General features: G+C 41.1%; 1 protein-coding gene across 15 annotated transcripts in view; it reads right to left on the bottom strand.

The window, feature by feature from the left end:
* The window catches only part of MTM1 (myotubularin 1), a 110,491-nt gene that overhangs the window by 34,263 nt on the left and 56,498 nt on the right, over positions 1 to 19,730 (bottom strand). The window contains exon 1 of one of the 15 annotated variants that reach the window (XM_017029551.3): positions 120 to 19,722. The exons of the other annotated variants lie outside the window; for them this stretch is intronic. The gene's annotated coding sequence lies outside the window, so the exon portion shown is untranslated. Of the gene's footprint in view, positions 1 to 119; positions 19,723 to 19,730 lie in introns of those variants that run through there. 15 annotated transcript variants of the gene reach the window in all.

Raw genomic sequence — 19,730 nt, 5'->3', positions numbered from 1 at the left:
CTTTTGATTTCTCGCAAAATAAATTTCACCAGATTTGCCGACCATGAAATTACAACCCACACCAAGGCTTATAACAACAACAACAAAAAAAAACAGTGGAAAACTCAGATCAGACTTACGCTAACTTCTATCTTGAGTAATAGAAGCCTCAATTTTCTATGGCTATAAATCTCTCAATTGTTCTTTTAATGATGTTCCACAAAAAAATCAGATTACCAGACCAAAAAGTGCCTATCAATTTTAAACAGTATTAGCAATTGATCAGGTACAAGCCACTAAAAAGAAAGAAGGAAAGGAAGAAAAATAAAATTCAGGAATTATTGTTAAACGGTGCAACTGTCTCAAAAGGGAACAATGACATGTTTATTTTTTAAAAAGATAGGATATTAAGAAAACTCTGAGCTAACTGTTCTCTGTGAATTCTGAATCAATGCCCTGGTTTCTGTGAAATGGCAGGACTCAGACCTCTCACCTCTTCTCTATATATACTCACCCTCAACGTGCTGTTGATACATTTGATAGCTTCAAATACCATCCATACTCTAGTGACTAGTAAGGACCTATCATTCTCCAGCATCCCCTCTGAATTCCAGACTTGGCTATCCAAGTGTCCACTCTACCACCCCACCAGACTGCCTAAGAGGCATCTGAAGAACTCTCAAGTTAACACAACCAAAGCCAAACACTCTTGGCTCCCCCTACCCAGTCCTGCTCTTCCCACAGTCTCCCCATTTCAGTACATGACTTCCAGCTGATTGAGCTGAAAACCTTGGATTCATCTTTGTCACCACGTGGCTACCACCCAGGTCCAAGCCACCATCATCTCTTACTTGGTTGATTATAAAAACCTAACTGCTCCCCTGCTTTCATCTTTGTACTTCTCAAGTCAGAGTGACAGTGTCATAGGTCAGATCAAGTCCTTTCCTTGCCCCAAATCCTCCCGTAGCTTTCCACTTTGCGAGGAGTAAAGGTGGAAGTCCTTCCAATGGCTTATGCAGCTGTCTGCCATCTGGCCATCTCCCCCGCCACATCTCTGCTCTCAGACTCACTCGCTCCACGTAAGTCACACCTGCCTCCTGTGCCACTCCCTAAAGGCACCAAGCACATGCCACTCTCAGGGCCTTTGCGGCTACTATTCCATCTGCCTGGAATTCGTTTACCTCATGGCTTCTTGTCTTCTCTCACATCTCTGATCCAATAATCTTAATCAGTAAGACCTTCTCCGACACCCTACAAAAAAACATGTTACCCTCACAACAGCACTCCCTATTCCCATCTGATTTTCCCTATCACTTATGACCATTTGACATATTACATATGTACTTGTTCACTGTACATATGTACTATCCCCTCCCCTAGGACATGGGCTCCATGAAAGTACACACTTGCTTCATTCCCATCCTTTATCCCCAGTAACTACAATGGCGCCTGGTCAGAGGGAGGCAGAACACAGGCTCGCTGACCGAATGAAGACATGAAGGCCCACACAGCCCCTGTACAACCATCTTCTCTGGAGGCGCTGCGTCTGGGCACTTTTCCTCTATGTAGCTCCCTCCCCAACCATTTTCCTCTGTCATCAGACTAATCACTTTGAACACCAGTGTTCCCTCCCCTACAACACAGTGTATTTCTGGAAAAGCATCTTTCAGCAGCAACAGTTTTCTGCATGTGAATGGCAAGAGGTTTAAGGTGAAAACTGCCCAAGAACATGCTCTCCACAATGTCTTCTCAAACTTTCCCAGGCATGCAGCACACTCTGCAGGTCTCAACTCTGGCAGCGCTAGGCCCAAGTGCTGTTTATTCTGGATGGCTGGCATGATAAGCACACACTGGTAATGATGCTGACCTAGCTAAGCGATGCACTGAGGCTTTAACCTGACACTGAATCCACAGCAATGCATAATTATTCAGTACCACTGGGAAAAATAAGTGATTTCTGTTAAGTTTAAATTAAAGACAGAGGGACTTTGGGCGAAAATAGCACTAAAATGTTTGGTGCACTCCTTTATCCATAAACAGAATATATGGGACATGCCTAAGCATTCTCTTGGCAATATATCATTACTGTGAACATCTGATACTGCGCTGGTCAGTACTTGGCACAGGTAAACATTCAGGAATGTTGAATGATTTGAGTGATGTACTGTTAACATGGTTGTAGATGGTTTGAGGCCTAAGGCTCTACTGTCACTTTAAAAGAAAACCTAGAACTTGCTTTCTTGAAATAAGTTCCTGACCTCAACATGGTTTTTGTTCATTTGTTTTAGTTATTTGCATCTTTCCCATGAAGCTCAAGTGAATATGGCAGCTTTTAAAAACCAAAGAGAAAAATTCCTAAATTGAAGGCCCAGATAAAGCTTTCCTTCCAGAAAAAATCATCATGTGTAGTAATGCTATCAGCATTAACTTTCAAGCAGCATTTTCAACCTAAATTACTATTTTTTCAATCCCTAAGGTTAAAGCACCTTCTTTTTTTTGCTTCCAGTATTCCTGTATCTTACATGAAAATTTCTAAGTTTATAAAATTGTTATCAGAAAATCAAAGCTATATGGCCTAAACAAAAATTATCTACCTAACTTCCTTAATATGTTTTATAAAAGAACCTGAACAGAAGCAACATCAATTTTTTTTTGTCATTAGTATGAGACTGAGACAATGTCCCCATGGTAACCACACATCAGATGGACTCTCTGATGAGATCACTTCTATGATGATACTTCACATTCTGACTAATATCCAGAATGAGTCAACTAACTGGTATCCTTTAACCCGAAACATGTCTATTAGAATTGGTGACAAAAACAACTCCCAGTTTACTCTTGATGCTAAGAGCCAGGCTTGGACCCCAGATATTTCAGGAAGAATTATGAATCGCACAACAGCCAAATATTTCTCCTCGTGAAGCACATAGCAACACATCTAATATTAAATTGGAGCTTAGGGTAGAAAAGACTGGGTGCTTAAACCAATATTTTCACCATTCAAATAAATTAGCTTACAAACACAGAAAAACATTTTTCAAAAAGCATTACTAGGTAGTGTTTATGTGGTGTTTTTATTTAAAAACTAAGTTTTCCATAAGCTACTTGGCTCAATTGAAGTGAGCAGTCTGAAAGAGCCAATACCACCATTTTCTGAACTTGAAAGTACGAGGACCTACTTTTCAGATATATTTTCTTTTTTTCTTAAAGATTAAGAGAATATAGGCTCTCAGAGTAACATAAAGTTGGATTATTACAAAAACAAAAATAAAGCAATAACAAAACACATTCATCTGTACCTCATTATCAAAAAGCATAAAATCCCCTACAAGTGGTAACTTGTTACAAGCCTAATTAAAGCTCCTATTTCAAAATTGTTAAAACCTGAAGTGAATAGGTTATACGTCTTGAGGTTTTTAGCTGTCATTTACTTTCTCTTCCAGACAATGTATTCTTTAACACTTTATTAATGTGTTGACACTTTCAACTATTATTCTTAAATATAACCTTGGGTCAATTTTGACCCTTAATTTGGGAACTCTAAATCACATGGAGAGAGCTGGCTCTCAAGTATTTTCCACTATAACCATCAAGCGCGTCTTGTTTGCTAAATGGGTAATGATAAAGCTTACTCAATGAACACGTCCAAGTACTGATTTCATCGACTATGGAAAATTCAAGAACGATTCAGTCCCAATTGAGCAAAGTCTTAGGACAGAGAAGATGTTTTGCTGAGCATCACCTTTCAGTAGATGCTTCAGCAAGTCCTACGTGGCTTTCTTCTAGGGTGTGGTCCTTATCTACGGCTCTGCCTCAGAATTGGGGGTGAAGTGGGCTGCTTTTTCCAGAGGCTAAACCATGCCCTGTGCCCTGCCTCACCCCTACTGAATCAGAATCTCTAGGGGGTGACTTTCTACCTCCTTGGTCCTAGAAGGGCCATGTGGGATGTACCAGAACTCTCAGGAATGTAGCCTAAGGATTCTGTGTGGTCAAGCTGTTGGGGAGCTACTTTAGTTTGTTTTAGATTATTTTGAAATAATTATAGATTCACAAGAAGTAAATCTTCAGCCAGCCTCTCCAGGTGTTAACATCTTGTATAACTTTTAGCACAATATCAAAATCAGGAAACTGACAGAAGATACTCTCAAATGGCCACCCTCACCTTCCTCAAGTGAGCAAGTCATGTCTTCCTTAATTTTGCTCTATATTAGTATTTGGGCATTTCATCAATTCACAATTCACTAGATCCGTACTAGTCAAGAGATACTGTACATGGAGACTTTTTTTTTTTAAAGCAATCATGTGCATTGTTTCCGGATTAAAAATAGCACAATGTAACATTTGAAAAATGTTAAAGGACAAACTTGAGATGAAACTCTCTGATTTCACACCAGGGATAAAAACAGCTCTGACATAGGGAATATAACTTGTCATTTTAATTTAGCTACATTTATCATTGTAACTTGTGGGGGTAAAGTCTCTGAAATGACAACAGATTTTAGCTTTCACTTAATTAGCCATTATTTTTAAATGGCACCTATATAAAGATGCACTGATTTCCTTAAAACATCTAGATTGGATTTTTTGTTTATTTAAACAGAATCTATAAATGTTAATTCTTGAGTTTCCTTTGAGGACGGACAGCTGTCTGTCACTGTCATAGGCTCTCTCCAGCTCATAATCAGGGGAATAAATTGATAAACTATGAACATTTAAAAGTGTTTTCAAATGATGTTAACAGCACCCAATGGCACAACTGATGAATGTGATTTTTCAGGAAGATGACTCTTAATGACCTATGTCTCCAAATACCTAAACTTAAAACTTCAGGGAACCACTTACTAACTGCTTCTTTTTGTTTTTGAGACAGAGTCCTGGCTCTATCGCCCACGCTGGAGTGCAGTGGTGCCATCTTGGCTCACTGCAACCTCCGCCTCCTGGGTTCAAGCAATTCTCGTGCCTCAGCCTCCAGAGTAGCTGGGACTACAGGCACACATCACCACGCCCAGCTAATTTTTTTTTGTATTTTAGTAGACACAGGGTTTCACCATGTTGCCCAGGCTGGCCTTGAACTCCTGAGCTCAGGCAATCTACCCACCTTGGCCTTTCAAAGTGCTTGGCTTACAGGCGTGAGCCACGGCATCTGGCCCAACTGCTTCTTTCTGGATTAAATTTTGCAACGTTTGAACAGGAATTGAAGCTAGCTTTTTTTTTTTTTGAATTTGATTTCTGAAATTAAAGACACTCATCTTTTTAAAAAGCTTCCATCTACCATTTAAGGGTACAGTAATGTAAAATTACCTCATTTTCATCTTTTAAACTTTAGAAACAAGACTTGATCATGTAAGAAAAAAATGCTTTCATTAAAATTGGAGGGGAAAGCCTAAAATTTTAAAGAACCATAGGACGTACTGATATGTGGTAAAGTTTATAATTCTAATGCCCTAATGCTAGATAATGCTTTCTGTATATTTCACACGACTTGACACAGTAAGTTCATTTATATCAGTTTTGACGCAGTTATTCCAAAAACCTGACAAAAGATAACAGGTCAAAAGCAGCTAGCACATAGATTACCAATTATACTTCTGTTTGCATAAACAGTTCTCCTAATCCTATTTCTACTACTGACTAAATCAGTACCTCTGGGGGAAATGGCTTGATATTCCTGTGTCATCATTGTCTTCATATATAAACGTACCTATTTATTTGTTCACGAAAGGACCACAAATGTACATTTGAAATGTCATTTGAAACTATTTTGGAAAAAAGAATATTCTTTACAACTTGTCCACTATCATAATCATTTAAGGCTGAGATTTCTGAGGGTTCATACATTGTCCCTCTTCTCACTGTAGTTCTCTCTCCTGGCAATTTTGGCCACATCTATGAAAATGCTAGTGATGTGATGTGGATGTGATCCAGGAGTACCAAATAAAGCTCTCCCCAGGCCAGAGCTCTGGATCTATGTGGTCATCTGTCTCCTAGGTATCTCTGCCTGGCTGTCTCACAGACACTCTCAACTCAACATAACCAAAATGGAACTTGCCACCTCTTCCTCACTCCCCTCCTATGTTCCCCATCTCAACCACTGGCCCCACCATCGGTCTGGTTATCCAGGGTGGATTCTTCCCTATCATCCCATCCTCCCTCATAACTACATTCAGTCAACCACCAAATTCTACTGATTTTACCATCTGAATCTTTCTCAAAAGCATCATCTGGAGTCCCTGTCCATTGCCCCACTTCAAGCCCTCATCATCAAGGACTGGGGTGACTAGCAAAAATCCCCAGAAATGGTCTTCCTCTCTCCTCCACTCCCGTCCCCTCCACCTACTCTGCACACACTGCAGCCCAGCAATCTTTTTGAAATGGAAATTTAATCATGCCACGTTCCTGCTTAAAACCATTAAATGGCTCCCTTCACCTTCAGATAAAAAGCAGACATTCTGAGTGGGGAATGTTAGGCTCTGCAATCTTTGACCCAGCCTCCTCTGCCCCCAGCACTATCTCCTGTTGGTACCCCCACATGCACGCTGTGCTCCCGGACACCAAACTGCATGTGAGTTCAGCCTGCATCTGTGCGGCCTCTTTGCATGCCCACAGACTGTTCCTTCAGTATGACATGTCAATTTCTGCCTGACAAATGCTCCTACTCATCTTGCAGAATCTGAATCCTCTAGGAAGCCCTCCTTTGTGCTCCTGTGACATCCTGTGCACCACTGTATCATATGCATCTGTTTGTTTGCATTACCCAGGAAAACAGCACTCCTTGGGAACAGGAAGTGGGTATCAGCTCTAGATCCCTGAGCACAGCCATAATGTAGCATTCTGTAATTGCTTAAGCAACAATAGAAAGGAAAAGAAAAAGAAGAGGAACAAGGGGAGGCTCGTTCTACCATACAGTGCAACATCTTATACAGCTTCAATAGTTAAAAGAGCACACCTGGTGCATGAATAGAATAATTAATGCAACGAGAACCTCTTAGAAATAAAATCAAACATGCAGAGGAATTTAGTGTGAGATAAGGACAGTACTTCAAATCAGCAAACTAGTCAACAAATGATATTGCAACAAGAGGGGAAGAAAGAGTTGGATTCATATCTTATACTTTAACTCCAAATAAATTCCAAATAGATGAAATACTTAAATCTTAAGGAAGAAACCAAATTACTAGAGGAATATGAGATAATTTATTTTATTTGTTTTTTTTTTTTTTTTTTTTTTTTTGGAGATGGAGTCTCACTCATTCTGTCGCCCCGGCTGGAGTGCAGTGGAGCAATCTCGGCTCACTACAAATTCTGCCTCCCAGGTTCAAGCAATTCTCGTGCCTCAGCCTCGTGAGTAGCTGGAATTATAGGCATGTGCCACCACACCCAGCTAATTTTTGTATTTTTAGTAGAGACAGGGTTTCACCATGTTGGCCAGGCTGGTCTCGAATCCCTGACCTCAGGTGATCTGCCTGCCTCGACTTCCCAAAGTGCTGGGATTGCAAGGCGTGACTCACCACGCCTGGCTGAGATAATTCCTTAGAAGTCTGAGTAGGGAAGATCTTCCTAATTGGGATAGAAAGCTCAGAAGCTATAAAAGAAAAGTGTGCAGAAGAATTAACATGGCAGGCCTGAGGCTGCCCTCCTTAGAAAGGCCTGCATACATGGTTGGCCCTTGCCAGACACTTGGTAATCTGGATTTCAGCAGAGTTCTCACCATTCCCTCACTGGTAAGATTGGTTCACTGTGCCCAAACTGTTTGTATAAACAATGTGGTTTACACTGAACTCCTGCTTTTCTTCTGGAAGCCTGGAATTTTGCTTGTGCTAGGCAGTGGGTGCTTACATGGCCAGCCCCAATAAACACTGTGGACACAAAGTCTCCAATGAACTTCCCAGGTGGGCAACATCTCATATGTGCTGCACAACTCATTGCTGGAGGAATTAAGTGCATCCTGTTTGATTCCACTGGACAAGAACTCTGGAAGCCTGTGCCTGGTTTCCCCCGAATTTCAACCTATGTGCCTTTTCTCTTTGCTGGTTTTGTTTTGTATCCTTGTGCTGTAATAAGCCATACCTGTGAGTACAATATGAGTCCAGTGAGTCCTGTTATCGAATCACCACACGTGGGGGTGGTTTTAGAGCCCCTCAACACAGACTCTCAAATGCTACCAAATAAATAGAAAACAAGTCTCCATAGCAAAATCCATCATAAAGTCAAAAAACATACAGGAAAAATATTAGTCACTCATATTAAACATCACTATAGCTATTACACAAAAAGTACGTACAACTAACAAGAAAAAGACCAAACATCCAAACAAAAAATAGGTAGAAGATACAGAGAATGGAGAAATGCAAATACAAATAGCTCAAACCTAAAGATATTCAATTTTACTCATACAAGATAAATGCAAAATAAAACTGGAAGCTACATTTTCACCTATTAGATTGAAAAAGATTAAAAGATCAGAAAACATACTGGGTTGCTATGGTAAGCAGAATAAAGACCTCCCAGCCAGGGCTGGGCCTCATGCCTGTAATCCCAGCATGTTGGGAGGCTGAGGAGGGCAGATCACCTCTGAGGTCAGGGGTTCAAGATCAGCCTGGCCAACATGGCGAAACCCCATCTCTACTAAAAATATAAAAATTAGCCGGGTGTGGTGGCCCACGCTATAATCTCAGCTACTTGGGAGGCTGAGGCACGAAAATCGCTTGAACCCGGGAGGCGGAGGTTGCAGTGAGCTGAGATTGTGCCACTGCACTCCAGCCTGGGCAACAGAGCAAGACTCTGTTTAAAAAAATAAGAAGAAGAATGTCTTCCCAAAGATGTCCATGTCCTAATCCCTCAAACCTGTGTTACGTTACCATATATGGCAATGAGGAATTAAGGTAGTACATGGAATGAAGATCATAGGGTGGAGAAGCACATTCACTGGGCAATGTCTATTGGTGGATGGAAATAGGTACATGACAGTGTATATAGCTCTCTACCATTAGGGTTAAGGGGGAAGGCATGTGAATCAGTTAAGTGTATAGGCCTAAACTATCACTGGGTGGAGACACAATAAACTGAAACCTGGGTTGTCTATGAGGAGGGCAATGAGGTAGCTGAAGTGTGCCGGGAGGGAGATTTTTTCCTGTATACCCTTTTACAGTTCCTGAATTGTCAATCATGAACATATATTACCTATTTACAACTTAAATTAAAAAGTAAATATTTATTGAATAAATGCTATTTCTAAAAAGCAGAATATTCTCATTGATGTCTTGGTTGCTACTGATTCCGATTAATTCGCTCTGTTTACATTAGTATATTCACTCGATAAACATTTACTGAGGCTCTACTATGAACAAGGTATGAAGTGGAGAAAAAGGCAAGGAAGACACAGCCTCTGTTTTTAAGGAGTTGGAAGTCATCCAAAGGAGAGAGATGAGGAGGGCATATAGAGAGGATAGCAGCAAGTGCCACAGGTGGGAGAGAGAAAGTACTATGAGGCCCAGAGAATGCCCAGATAACTTCTTGACAGATGGGGCTTGGAGGGACGTTGTTGGTATCTGAACTACCCTGGAAGGATAAGACAACTCTGGACAAGACGACAACAAAAAGGCACAAATGGCAGCCAAACTCAGAGAATATATGGCCACTGGCGAACATCTCAGTCTACACTCAACTCCACTGAGTGAAGACGGATAACAAACAACGGAGAGAGGTGGGCCACACTGTGAAAGAGACAGAGGTCTGCCTTCACACTGACAGAGAGGGAGGAACTGGTTGAAGTTTGCGGGCAAGGGATAGGAGACAGAATGGAGGTAGAAAGACCTCCTAACAATGTTCCAACAGTTTAGAAGAGAGGAGATGAAGATATGAATTAAGTCAGGCTGGGGAGGCAGAATCCCCTGGATTTAGTACATGCTACGAAACAGGGGCCAGGTATGGTGGCTCATGCCTGTAATCCCAGCACTTTAGGGGGCAGAGGCAGTAGGATTTCTTGAAGTCAAGAGTTTGAGGTCAGCCTGGGCAACACAGTGAGACACCATCTAAAAGAAAAGAAAAATAAATTAGCCAGGTGTAGAGTCATGCACCTGCGGGCTGCGGTGAGCTGTGATCACACCACTGCACTCCACCCTGGGTGACAGAGCAAGACCCTGTCTCAAAAAAAAAAAAAGAAAACAAGAAAAGGAAGAAATGAAAACCTCTGATGGCCTTGATTTCGAATGTTCAAATTTGAATGAACAAGAGGACAATGATATCATTAAGAGTAACTGGGAACACAGAGGAGTGGGTTTCTGGGGCATATGAGAGTCATTTTAAACAGATCTTTTGGTGTTGCTTGAAGTTCTATAACAGCTACAGGGAAATATAAAGCCATGCTTTATATTTGGAAGCCATGCTTAGAAAGGCACTGTTCGTGGACATGAGTTTGCCCAGGGCATAATTCAGAGCAAGGACAGACTTTTGTAGAAAACCCATGTCTAGATGGTAGAAGGATGCAGAGGAGCCAGAAAAGAAGTGAGAGGCAGAGGACTTAGATCTCAGAAGCTATGGGGAAAGTTAGGTTTCAAAAAAAAGAGGGAGAGGTGTCTGCAAATGTGATGGTCTTTATACCATAATGGGACTTCTGCTGAAAACACCTAAAAATGCTGGATATAACAGAGACTTTTTTACTCAGAAGCCAAAAACTAACTGCAAACAGGAATGCAGACAGCAAGAGGAACACACTGGCTTTCACTTTCAGGCCACTTCCAGAACTGGTTTTCATGGCCTCTTGGGGCACAGGAGATAGGGCCTGAAGACCTGGCCAAACCAAAATGAGGAAACCTCCCAAGTGCTACACTCAGGGGAAGGATGCATGGGAAAGGACCACCTGGGGACTTCAAGAGAACCTTCCTGTCTAGATTATTGGTGCTAAGCAAGGGAGGAAACAAATCCCTGCCACCATCCCCCACTAGAAATTTGTAGTCACAAGTCAGCCCTTAAGTAGTATGTGGACGAAACTCACAAAACTTGGATGGTCCCAAAAACATCCAACCTGAGAATTTAATTCATAAGCGTCCCAAACCAGTCATGCTTCAAGATGCCTGGCAGAAAGAAACACAAATCCTCTCTTGGTAAAATTGCCTTCAGTCATATGCTCAGAGTATTCCCACAGATAAACTTCCAAGGAAGAGGAATTTGCAGGCAATAATCACAAGACACACCCACATCAGAAACAAAGTGCCATGAGCCAGCAAACACACACACCTGTGGTAGAAAAGTCCACAAAGACTTCGGGTATTGTAATCATCAGATGCATATTATAAATTACATTTAATGTGCTTTCGGAAGTCAAAAAGAGGATGAGAAATCTGAGCACAGAAGAAGAGATTATAAATAATGGCCAAACAGATCTGAAAAACAATCAAATAGAACTTTTATAATTAAAAAAACATAACAATGGAAATTTTAGCAAACAAAAACTCAGATCAGGCACAGCCGAAGTAGAAGATAAAACTGAAGAAATTACCCAGCTTACATCTCAGGAGAGACAAAGGAAAGTTCCATCAATCAGCATTCTTTAGATTTTATACATATTTTATAAATATCCTCTTGTATCTACTCAATATTTTAAAAGCACCACTTTGCAAGGAAGGGGTGGGATAGTTGACAGTCAAACGATGGTGCAGTTGAAAGGCATATGGTCTAACAGACTACCAAGTTTTCTAACTTGTAGGGTCTTCGGTCATTTTCAGAAGAATCATTCCACTCCAGTGAGCGGGCTAGACGACTGATTGCAATGAGTTATGGAGTGAATGGATGCGAGCGGGGAATTCTACGCTTCTGACCATAGACAACAATGCTACAGGAGACCAGGTGAAATGTCAGTTCCAGAGGACAGGCAATAGGGAGAAGAACCAAGCACATTTCAAGGCTGAGAGGGAGAAGGTGGTGGAGACAGAGAGATCAACGAGAATAGAGGACCAAGTCTTAGAGGAGGCAGGAAGGAAGGAGACTTAAAAGCATAACTAGTGTGTCAATTTGCCAAGTTTACTGTTGATTCAAGAAAAAACAGTCCTGCCCAAAAAGGAAACAGATAACTAAGACATAACTTTTAGTCATTAGGCCACATCTAGGCTAAAAGCATGTGTGTGTGTACTTCATTTCAGTGTCCCTCTGAAAATGAGTTGTTTCTTTTTATCTATTAATTCCATAATCAGCCCAGAAAGTAAGGGTCCACTAAATTTAAGCCTCGTTTAAAATTGCAAAGCAATTTATAAAAATTTCCACATTTCTGAGGCACAAAATAAAACATCCTATGTTGGCTGGACGCAGTGGCTCACACCTGTAATCCCAGCACTTTGGGAGGCTGAGGCGGGCGGATCACAAGGTCAAGAGATTGAGACCATCTTAACATGGTGAAACCCCGTCTCTACTAAAAATACAAAAATTAGTCGGGCGTGGTGGTGAGCACCTGTAGTCCCAGCTACTCAGGAGGCTGAGGCAGGAGAAGCGCTTCAACTGGGGAGGCGAAGGTTGCAGTGAGCCGAGATCATGCCACTGCACTCCAGCCTGGGTGACAGAGCAAGACTCCGTCTCAAAAAACAAAAACAACAATAACAAAAAAATCCTATGTTAATTCTCCATTCATAGGATCATTTATACCTGTCATTCAAATGATCATAAAAGATATATACCTCCATAACGCACTCTACTAACTTTTATGAAAATCTTTTTACAAGTAAGCACAACTGGAGTAGAGCAAGAGAGGACATGGGGTAGATATGGTAGTGTTTAAGCCACACGGCAGGGCTTGATGTGGTTCACCAAAGCTAGGCAAAAAGAAATAAGCAGCAAAGACTATGAAAACCAAAGGCGGCTGTAACAAACACCTGCAAATGCTGATGAGCCCTGCTCACAAAGGTGCTGCTGTCTGGAAGACCTTGCTTCCATCCTTTGCATGCAATCTAATGTACTACACCAGCAGTCCTCAGAAGGCTGCTGGTCTCCACAGCAAAGGCTGTGCAACCCAGCTGCTTCTCTCCTGAAATTAGAGTTACCAAGAGCAAGTTACCTCACCTGTGTCTTTTCTGACTGACATAAGAAGGTCAAATATCTCCCACCACACACACGAAAACAAAAATTTCGCAACTATATGACTGCTAATCAGTTCACAGAATAACAGAAATATTTTGATGCGAAAGAGCTTCATGCAGAATGTGAAAGGAAAGCGGCAAGTGCAAAAACAAAAACCTGAATGAGCCATGTTTCCCTAAAAGCAGTAAGCCTGAGCAGGGTCAAAAGATGGAAAGAAAAACATGGAAAACCATTTCTAAAGAATTCTTTTCATACATATCACTGCCCCCCGTATCTCACCCTTCTAGGTCACATGCTTTCTGGATATTATGCTCTGACTTTCAAAGAGTCTTTTCTCAAGGTACAACCAATGGTTTGTTAATAAGAATACTAATCTATATATAGCATCTTTCTTTGAAAGAGCTTAAAGTGCCCCACATGTTATCACGATTACTTTATTAATAGTCTTGGGCAAAAGTGTGCTGGGTAGTCATCCTTATTCTCTACACCTGCTGGGAAAACGGCACACTAAGAACAGAACTGACATTTATTGGGTACTTACTGCGTGCCAGGCAGCGTCGTAAGCACTTTACATTTAATCCTCACAAAACCCCAACGGGGTAGAGACTGTTATTATCTCCATTACAGATGAGAACACAGAAGCACATAAACATTATGTGACTTCCAAGGTCACCAAGCAGGTAAGTGACTGAGCTGGATTCAGACATAGACCACTGGACTCCAATGGCACATGCTTGTTACCACACACCAGAAAGGCTCTGCAAACGTGTCCCCTCACAGGGTCTCCCCATCAGTGGCTGCTATGAGCCTGGCACCCAGGTCTCAGGCTTCATTTCTTCTAGCCCTAGCCTTCCTTTGTGTGAGTCTATATCCCACAAGTTTATTCATAAACTCTAAACCTTCACTTAAAATTCAAGAAAATCCATGTGCGCCTACTGCTATAAAGGCAGATTTAAGTGACTATATTCACGCCTACAATAACTTAAAGTGCAGTTTATTCTACATATTCTACCATTACCTAAAATGGTGTTTTTCAAACTTTTTGGACCACGATTAACGGTAAGCAATGCACTTCAACACCATGACCCAATACACACATACACCGGAGAGAAATGTTTCACGTAGCCACACTTATCCATATTATGTTATGCTCTTATTCTATTCTATTCTATTTTAAAATGCTGGCTGCAACCTAGTGAATTGATTTTATGACTCATTAATAGGTTAGGATTGACAGTTTAAAAAACTCTCATCTAATATGTGTATTATCTCTGATTATCCCATCTGAGTAAAAAATGAGCAAACAATAAAGAAAATCAACAAAAGAACAACTTTGCCATTGAACTTATCACCCCAACAATCAAACTCTTTATCTTTCTGTAGCACTATCAGGCTCTGTTCAGTTATACATGATTTTAATTTCTGCCTTAAAAAAATCGCCATACTATCAGAAACACTGACATTTATTAAAATATATCATTTACCTAGAACTAGTATTGAGCTTCATGCAATTTATGAGAATTCAGTACAATTTCTAGTGTTTGAAAAGCAAAGCAAATAGATTTTTAAAAAGAAAATAAATGAATAAATTTCTATTTTTGGCCAAAATAGAAATGTTACTAAAAAAAGTGCGCATCTTACCAGATTGACATAACACAGAAACAATGAAGTTAATGGTTTGGGGTGAACTCTGTTGCTGAACAGCTCAAGTTCAATTCAAAGTGTTAAGTCGTGACTTGAAAACACTGAGTGGTGAAAATACTAATGGGACAGGAGGCCAGAGAGAGCCAAAGGGGTGGTCTGAAATGAAAAAGCCCACTCATGGTGTATTCATGACCTGGCCGGAGTCAGGACCCAGCTTGCTTGGCCTCCAGACACCATTTCATAGATGCAACAGCAAGTTCACTTCTGACTTCAAATGCCAATAAAAATCACTAAGATAATCTGCAGCTGGCTGAACAGTTCCAATAATATTAACAAAGTGATCTTTTTCAAGCAGGGGCCCTTTGTATTGTTCAAGGCAATCAGGCTTATGTTACCTCCTAGGAAAGCCCTTTTTGGCACACTCCCACATTCCCCACTGTGACAGTTTGGAAACTTTTCTTCCCCTCCTGTCTCACAGAAATAATGGTCCCTTCTCCTTTCCCAAACTGCCCCACAAACTGGGCTGGATCCCATCCCCCTCTGCCTTCTTCAGGATCCTGCTCAAGAAAAGATCCCTTCTCTCTCTTGCCTTGAAAAGAGGCAAGATTTCTTTCCACAAATATATTCATTTTCCTTTTTCAAATTCTAAGGTAAAAACTTTCTTCCCTCAACATGCCTGCCACTCTTTTTTAAACCAACTATGCTTCCTTTAAACACCTGCAAACTGGTGTTTGTCCCCGTCACCCCGAGATCATTTTCTGAGATTTATAAAGGCTCAAAAAGAAAAAAAACCCCAAAAAACAAAAACGTATGCCAGGCACTGGACTAGGCACTAGAGTTGCAAAGATAATAAAAGGAGGTCCCGACTTTAAGCAGGTCAGTTAGGGTCAGGTCCCTAGGGAGCTTGTGATCCATCTCCCCAGCTCTCCCAGCACTGACACCCATGACATCCTGTTAATCCTTTCCAGGCTCTTCCCTCGCCTCTGTAACCATTCCGTTTTCTGGCTCCTTTCCTATCTTCACTCCCTAAAAGATGGCCTCTCCCAAGATTCTGGTTCAGGACTTCTCTATTACATACCAGGATTACTTTACCAGGGCCCTACAAAGGGGCTTCAGAGGGGCCAGAAGTCCTCTAAAATTTTAGGTAAGGTTTTGTACATGACTGCATGTTTGAGGGGAAAAGAAACTATAATTTACATCGTATTCTCAAAGGAGCCCATAACTTCAAATGACTTAAGAACCACTATTCCAAATCTATATCTCTAGACTCTTTACTGAGGGGCAGGCCTTCAGTGGCTTGCTGTCAATTCTGTCAAAATACATGAAATGCTATGTGTCCAAAACAGAACTCATTGTTCCTCCCCCTTCCCCTTTCTTCCACCTGTTTCTGCAAATAAAATCTTTTTCTGACTTCCCTACTCTGTGGACAGTGCCCCACCCTCATCACTCAAGCCCCAGACCTCAGAAGTCCTTCACTGGAAATTAAATCCATTCTTCAAGGCCCTATACTAACAACTATCAATTCCATGTAGGCCTTTCCAATTTTGGTTAGATGTGGTCTCTTCTTCCTGTGAGTCCCCCGTGGATTTCCTTTGCGTTTCTCTTGCACAAATGAATGTATACTATCTTATGTTGGGGCTAAACATATTTGTCACATCACTACTGTTTGACTGTCACATCCCTCAATGGGACTAGGTATCACTCATCCTACACACTACTAAATCCTTGACTGCCCCCACTGCATCCTGACACCACCCAACACAAGACATGAAATGAACTTGACTGATGAAACAGTTGCACATGTGGACTTGAATATCAGGGACTGCTATTCCAAAAGCAGGGTCAAGGGCTGATCTGTTTCAATCTGTATCTTGCATTGTATTGGTGACTGGCAAACTTTTTTTAAGGATGACTTTCAGTGATTAAAACCTAAGATAATGTCACCTTCCAAAACTTCATATGAGCAATTCAGTTGACTTTTTTTTTTTTTTTTTTGGCAGTTTCTTACTTTATTGACTTCCTAAAACAAGAAGCAGGGATTCTCAGCACAGGTATGAAAAATATGGCCAAGTACCACAGACTTGAGAAATCAAGCCCTCTGTGGATGACTCCAATAACAGCAACAGAGATTTCTAGGTTTTGGTGTTAGATTTGTAATACTCAGAAACATCCATCTCATTTGTTTCCATATAGTGATTTTTCCTTCCTTTCTACTAACCCGAGTTCAAGAAGAAAGCCATCATTACAAAACTCCCATGCAGATGTCACTGTGCTGACAGTAGAGAGAGAAATAAAGGCTGATCCCTGCCTTGATAAGCTCATAATTTATCAGGCAGTGGTAGGGGGAGGTAGGAGGTAGTTATGACAAAATTATTCCATAAGGCACACTGAGATAAGTGCTCTGATAGAGGAACTTGCAAAGACTAACAATTGAGCGGTAAGATGAACTCTCACTGGGGGCACACACATATGGCCTGGAAAAGGACACAGGACAGATTAAGATGTTGAAGGCTAAGTGTGTGGAAGATGGGTAAGCAAGAGACGAGGGGACTGCAGGTAAAGGGGACAGCAAAATCTGAACCAAGAAAGTACTGTGTGTGCTAGAAGAGCATAGGGCAGCCCTGTGCAGCTGCAGTGTAGGGCACAAGCTATGAAAAGTAACTGGGGGTTTGTTTTTTGGGGGGTAGAGGATGATACAGTAACATGATCATATTTAAAAACAAAACAAACAACAACTGGCAGCATTGTGTAGGATTAGCTGGAAGGGGAAGAAACTGAAAGAAAGGAAGCCAGTTTGGAAGCATGGATTAAGGTAGGAAGCATAAGTAGAAAAGAGAGGAAATAGCTGGGTGTTGCTACTAAGTAGAACTTACAGGATTCAGAATTGATGTGCCTATGGGAGGAATAGCAGGGGGGGAACTGAAAAGCTGACTTCAAGTTATCAAACCTAAACAACTGGGGATCCTCAAACTTGCAGGACATATAGGATGAAAGGTAGGTTTCATGAACTGCAAAGAGGTCAGGGCAACAAGAAGTTTGTGATTCTACTTTTTTTTTTTTTTTTTTTTTTTGAGATGGAGCTTTGCTTTTGTCACCCAGGCTGGAGTACAATGGCACGATCTCAGCTCACTGCAACCTCTGCCTCCCGGGTTCAAGCGATTGTCCTGCCTCAGACTCCTGAGTAGCTGGGATTACAGGTGCCCAGCACTACACCCAGCTAATATTTTTATATTTTTAGTAGGACAGGGTTTCACCATGTTGGCCAGGATGGTCTCGAACTCCTGACCTCAAGTGATCCATCCTCCTCGGCCTCCCAAAGTGCTGGGATTACAGGCGTGAGCCACTGCGCCAGATGAGCTCATGATTCTCAGACTCCCAGAGGAAGGAATTTGAGGGTTAGACTCATTGGACTCACTCAAGGACAATATCAGGGTTAGATTTAGAAGTCATCTACATAGCAGTGACGACTTTAAACTAAACGAAACCATCAAGGCAAAGTTAATAAGATGAGAAGAGAAGAGGGATGAGAGTGAAGACATATTTACATTTAAGGAAAAGACAGAGGTAGTGGAGACTGGAAAGGAACAATCAAGATGGTGCAGGAATACAGAAACCAAGACTTTCAAGAAGACGATGGTCAAAATTGTTGAATGCTGGGGAAGAGATCAAACAGAATGAGATGGAAATGAGCCACTAGATTTGGCCAGTAATGAGCTCCATACTGGAATGGGTTGGAGGAATGAATGCACTGGAGACGAGGATAGGCTAGAATATTCTTTCCAGAAGTTTGGCAATGAAGTGAAAGATGGGACAGTAGTATAAGGGGAAAGCTGGTCCAGCACTTGACTTTTTTAGGGGAGTATACCCTAGAAGAAACAGAAGATACCAGAGAAAGGGGATGTCTGATGAAGCAAGATCTTGCAGGAGACAGACTGGGGCTTCAGCTCCTTCAAACCTGCCATTCTGTCAATTTCTGATAATTTAGGGCCAGATATGCATAAATCAAGACAGAACACATTTCCTAATTGAACTTTCATCAATTAGACTCACATTCTCACTTTCATAATAATTAAGAAGATGTGTTCCCATCAGACTCTCTTTTTATCCTAATAGAATTAAAAACTCTAATATAGACATATTTTTAAAAATCACATATTTAATCAGAAACTTAGAAAAGGCTGAAAATAGATTCAATTATGAGATCAGCACATTTGTTCCCAAGCATTACATTTTCATCTGCGTTCAACACATGCCTCTTCTACTTAAGGGTCCCTTCCATCACCTTCGGTTTAGTCTGCAATATGATCATCCTATACTTAAGATAAAGGCATTTATACAGTATATGTTGTAAATAATTATTTTTTCACTCTCCCCTTAGCAGGTATTTGCATCTAAGTTCAAGTCAAACTGAGGAGGAGGACTGGGGTTAGAAGATTCAAGCAAGGCACGGCAGTAAAAAAGGAGGCAAGGCCGAGGCAGGATATAAAGAAAGATTGTTCTACAAGCAAAACTCATAGAAAGCCTTATTTCAGTCATGCAGTAAGAGTAAGGTTACTCCAGTAGTTTGGTGAAGAGGAAGGAAAAGTTTTAGGTACATATACTGAATCACCTTTGGACTAAGTCATAGATTACAACTAATTAAATGCATAATAAATTGGTCCTGACAATTACATAATAAATGCTATCAAATGACATTTGAAAGGTTATTCTTTTCAAAAATAAAACTGCCCCTATTCAGCTATTGGTGCAGTACCTACACCACACATCTGTATTTGTTCAAATGGCATTTAGGCTCAGAGAGTTTGTTCCCATTTACAATTGGAGCCACAAAAGCCTGACACTCATTGCTCATTAGCTCCAAAGTTGACTGACAGGGGAGAGACCTGTTCCCTCTGGAAATGATGAAATTATTTAATAAACACCTCTGCAGACACATCACACTGGGAAACACAACACAGACATTAAAAGAAAGAGGATCCCAGTTTGCAGGCAGTTTTCACAGAGGAGGCACTGAGAACCTTCCCACGCTGAGGAGAGCA

The sequence above is a fragment of the Homo sapiens genome, chromosome X (genome assembly GCF_000001405.40).
Source record: "Homo sapiens chromosome X, GRCh38.p14 Primary Assembly".
NCBI classification, from domain to species: domain Eukaryota; kingdom Metazoa; phylum Chordata; class Mammalia; order Primates; family Hominidae; genus Homo; species Homo sapiens.
Note: the sequence above shows the minus strand (reverse complement) of the source record. Positions and strands in the feature narration are given on the sequence as shown.